Consider the following 5,543-nt stretch of genomic DNA (forward strand, 5'->3'; position numbering starts at 1 on the left):
TGACAGAATAACCCAAAAGGTTTTGCAGTTAATAGTTGACTGTAGATACTTGGTCACATAAGCTTCTGAACATTGTCCCTGAGCTGCCCTGGTAGAAGGTAAGGGGAGTCCAGGTCCTTGCCCCTAGTTAATAACAAATAGTGCTTATGATAGAAGAGTGATTGGGGGAGGAGGGTTGGGGAATGAGAGGAGGGTATAGTTTATAAAGTTCTAACAAACTCTTGGCCAGAGGCAAGATACAGAGGGCAGAATGAGTCAGAAGCTATTTAAGTGTCTTTTCTAACAAGTAACCCGTGATTTTTCATGTTACCACTGCAGCATATTTCACAGATGCTTACCATTTTCAGTACTGACTTCACATGCCCCTGCAACTTTTTTCCACCTTATGGATAAATATAAAACTATATTATAGTTTGACAGACCTAATTATTTTGTAGGTGCTTTAGAAGTAGAAGAACTAGGATTGGTGGTTGGTCAGTTAAAATGGAAAGTCACAAAGTCTAGATACTTTGATTGCTTGTATTAGATGTATGCTTATTTTCCATACAATCTTTTAATGAAGGACTACACCATTTCTTTGAGATGTCTGCTGCCTAGATTCTATTACATATGCATCATATATAGTTTTCAGTTTTGTCTTAAAGAAATCTGAATAGAGAATTCCCTTGAACTTTCACAGATACCTTCCCTCAGTTTTCCAGCTTTCTTCATACCCCTAATTTGACCACAGTTTTTACAGTAAAAATTGTAGAAATCAAGTAATATTGACAACCACCTACTAGCTAATAGTCATCAGTCAACTTATATTACCTTGGAAGTGGTTAAATAGAGTTTGGTTAAGAGCCACAAATTTACTTCATATTGTAATGTAATTATTTTTTTAAAAACTTCCCTCAACAGAAAGGAATAATGTGCTACAGGAAAAGGAAAACTTACCTGAGGTAGAGAGTTTAAGCAAGAGGTGAATCTGGTGTAATCAGGCAAGGAGTCAAGTATTAACTCTGTATGTGTCAGGTGCTGGGAATATAGAGGACAGTTTCTTAACACAGTCTGGGGTGTAGGTGGAGATACATGGGGTGGCTTTGAGGCCTTTCAGGTTTTCATCACTGATAGATACCTAGCCCTTATTTCATGGATGCCTCAAACCCCATTTTCCAGTCTAAGCTTTCGCCCCTAATCTATTTGCCTGTACTGCATAACCTTCTAAATATGATTAAAATCTTCCAGAAGTTTTTAGTCAGCCCTGATCTGGCCTTCTCACCATTTCTTCACATACTAGCTAATATTTAATAAGTAGAATTATGTGTAAATTTGGGTCTTCCTGGTATATGAGCAAAAAAAGCAATAGTTTCCTTATCTGAGCTGAAAAAGACACTAATGTTCAGTGGAGAACAGAGGAAGAGAATTCCAATAAGCAGAGCCTGTGGTTCCAGGTGAATAAGTCTTAAGTTCAAGGATGGTGTAGAGGGACAGAGATGCATTCTGGCCCTCCAGGGTTAGATTTGTCAAGAGGCGAAATAGTTAATTTCAGACAGTTCTCTGGAACTGATGTAATCTGGTTTACTTAGGGCAGTGGTTTTCAGATTGGAAGTACACACTATTAAACAGAAGCAATTCCACTTTAAAATTTTGCTTGGCTAAAGGATTCAGTGGCTATTTTTTTTTTTTTTTTAATTACCAATGTGAATAAGGTTTATTGGTTCCGGGGAGGAGACACCCTCTCTAGTATGAGAAGCTGCAAAGAAGGTTGTACTTGGAGTAAAAACCACACTCTTCACAGAAGCTGATCGTGATACCCATTGAGGAGACTGATTGGGCCTCAGCTTTCTATAACCTGGGAATATAAATGGGTGTTATAAAGTTTCGTGTTACATGACTCAGTTATCAGAATTGTATCTCCAGCTTAGAACCTTACAGGGAAAAACTGGAAATTACACATAAATATCACCCACTTGCCCCCTCCACCCCCCAACTTTATAAGGTAGGTAATATTATTTACACATGCAGAGAATGAGGTGTGGTAACCTGCCCAATGATACACAGTAAGCAGAGGAGGCAGGGTTTTTTGGTCCAGACAGTCTAATTCTTAAGTGTAAGCTCTTTACTAAGCTGCACTGTTGTGAAAGCACTGTACTTGAAGTTACAGGCATACCTTGTTTTACTGCACTTTGCAGATATTGCAAGATTTTTTCTTCAAAATAACGAAGGTTTGTGGCAACCCCATGTTGAGCAAGTTCATTAGTGCTATTTTCTAACAGTGTGTGCTCATTTCCTGTCTGTGTCACATTTGATAACTCTTAAAATTATTTCAGGCTTAAATTATCATGTTATGGTGATCCGGGATCTTGAATGTTACTAGTGTAATTTGGAGCCTCATGAACCACACCCATACGATGGTGAACATAAATGCACGTGTTCTGATTGCTCCACAAACAGGCTGTTCCCTCTCTCCGTCTCCTTAGGCCTCTGTATTCCCGGAGACACAACATTGAAATTAGGCCAATTAATAGCCCTACAGTGGCCTCTAAGTGTTCAAGTAAAAGGAAGAGTCGCACGTCTCAGTTTAAATCAAAAGCTGAAAATGATTAAGCTTAATGAGGAAGGCATGGCAAAATCTGAGATGGGCCAGAAAGATAGGCTTCTTGGGCCCATTAGACAAGTTGTGAATGCAAAAGATAAATCTTGAAGGAAATTAAAAGTGCTACTCCAGTGACTACACAATGATAAGAAAACAAAAGAACCCTATTTCTGATATAAAGTTTTAGTGGTCTGGATAAAAGATTGAAACAGGCCCAACATTCTCTTAAGCCAAAACCGTATCCAGAGCAAAGCCGTAACTCCAATTCCGTGAAGTCAGAGAGGTGAAGAAGTTGTGGAAGAAAAGTTTGAAGCTAGCAGAGGCTGGTTCATGAGATTTAAGGAAAACACCCATCTCCATAACATTAAAGTGCAAAGTGAAGCAGCAAGAGTTGATGTACGAACTGCAGCAAGTTGTCTGGAAGATCTAGCTGAGATAATTGATGAAGGGGCTATGCTAAATAGCAAGTATTTAAGGTAGACAAAATAGCCTTCTATTGGAAGCAGATGCCATCTAGGCCTTTCATAGGCTAGAGAGAAGTCAATGCCTGGCTTCAAAGCTTCAAAAAAGACTGACTTGTGAGGGGTTTATGCAGCTGGTGACTTTAAGCTGAAGCCAATACTCATTTACCATTTCGAAAATCCTAGGGCCCTTAAAAATTAAGCTAAATCTACTCTGCCTGTGCTCTAGAAATAGAACAGCAAAGCATGGATGACAGCACATCTCTATAGCATAACGCATCTAATATTTTAAACCCACTGTTGAGACCTATTGCTCAGGGACGGAAAAAACCTAAAGCTTTCAAAATATGATAAGCTCATTGACAATGCACCTAGTCACTCAAGAGTTGTGATGGAGATGTACAAGAAGATTGATGTTTTCATGCCTGCTAACATGACATCCATTCTACAACCTATGGATCAAAGAGTAATTTTGACTTTCAAGTCTTATTTAAGAAATATTAGGCCAGACGCGGTAGATCACGCTTGTAATCCCAGCACTTTGGGAGGCCGAGGCGGGCAGATCATGAGGTCAGGAGTTCGAGACCAGCCTGGCCAACATGGTGAAACCCCGTCTCTTCTAAAAGTACAAAAAAAAAAAAAATCCAGGCATGGTGGCACATGCTTGTAATCCTAGCTACTCAGGAGGCTGCGGAAGGAGAATTGCTTGAACCTGGGAGGTGGAGGTTGCAGTGAGCTGAGATTGTGCCACTGCACTCCAGCCTGGGTGACAGAGTGAGACTCTGTCTCAGAAAAGAATATATATATATTAATACGTTTTGTAAAGCTACAACTTTCGTAAATAGTGAGTCCTCTGATGAATCTGGGCAAAGAAATTGAAAGCCATATGAAAGGATTTACCATTCTAGATGCCATTAATAACATTTGTGGTTCATGGGAGGATGTCAGAATATCAACAACAAATAGGAGTTTGGAAGAAGTTTTATTCCAACCCTCATGGAGCCCTAGGGGATTCAAGACTTCAATAGAGGAAGTAAATGCAGATGTGGTGGAAATAGCAAGAGAGGTAGAGTTAGAAGTGGAGCCTGAAGGTGGGACTGAATTGCTGCAATCTCATGATCAAACTTGAACAGATGAGGAGTTGCTTCTTATGGATGAGCAAAGAAAGTGGTTTCTTGTGATGGAACCTTATCCTTGTGAAGATGCTGTGTATGTTGTTGAAATGACAAGAATTTAGAATTTTACACAAACTCAGTTAATAAAGCAGTGACAAGGTTTGAGGCGACTGACTCCAACTTTGGAAGAAGTTCTACTGTGGCTAAAATGATATCAAACAGCATCACGTGGTACAGATAACTCATTCATGAAAGGAAGAGTCAATTGATGTGGCAAACTTCATTGGCTTATTTGAAGAAATTGCCACAGCCACCCTGGTCTTCAGCAACCACCACCTTGATTAGGCAGCAGCCACCAACATCAAGGCAAGATTCTCCACCAACAAAAAGATATAACTTGGTTGGGCGCAGTGGCTCACGCCTGTAATCCCAGCACTTTGGGAGGCTGAGGCAGGCGGATCACCTGAGGTCCGGAGTTCCAGACCAGCCTGACCAACCTGGAGAAACCCCGTCTCTACTAAAAATAACAAAATTAGCCAGGCGTGGTGGTGCATGCCTGTAATCCCAGCTACTCAGGAGGCTGAGGCAGGAGAATCGCTTGAACCCAGGAGGCAGAGGTTTCCGTGAGCTGAGATCGCGCCATTTCACTCCAGCCTGGGCAACAAGAGCGAAACTCTGTCTCAGAAAAAAAAAAAAAGATATGACTCACTAGAAGCTCAGATGATCATTAGCATTTTTTTAGCAATGAAGTATTTTAAATAAAACTGCATTTTTTTAGACATAATGCTATTGAACACTTAATAGCAACCATGTAAACATAACTTTTATATGCACTGGACACCCAAAAAGTCCACGTGACTTATTTTACTGTGGTAGTCTATAAGCAAACCCACAATTTCTTCAAGGTATGCCTTGCTAGGTGAGTAACCTAAGAAAAATCACTCAGTTGGGTGCAGTGGCTCTGAGGGAAGAGAGAGACCTTCTCATATTGTTTTATATTCAGTGCCTGTTTTAAGAAAAAAAGAAAAAACAACAAGGAAGTAAAACCAAAGACAGGCAGCCCAGCGCCAGGCCTGAAACCAGGCCTGGGCCTGCCTGGCCTAAACCCAGTAGTTAAAAATCAACTCCTGACTTAGAAACCAATGTTACCCATAGATTTCAGGCATTGTATAAAAGAACATGTGGAACTCCCTGCTCTGTTCTGTTTCTCTCTGACTACCAGTGCATGAAACCCCTGTCACGTATCCCCTAGATTGCTCAATCAATCACGACCCTTTCATGTGAAATCTTTAGTGTTGTGAGCCCTTAAAAGGGACAGAAATTGTGCACTCAGGGAGCTCGGATTTTAAGGCAGTAGCTTGCCAATGCTCCCAGCTGAATAAAGCCCTT

The sequence above is a fragment of the Homo sapiens genome, chromosome 1 (assembly GCF_000001405.40).
Source record: "Homo sapiens chromosome 1, GRCh38.p14 Primary Assembly".
NCBI lineage: Eukaryota > Metazoa > Chordata > Mammalia > Primates > Hominidae > Homo > Homo sapiens.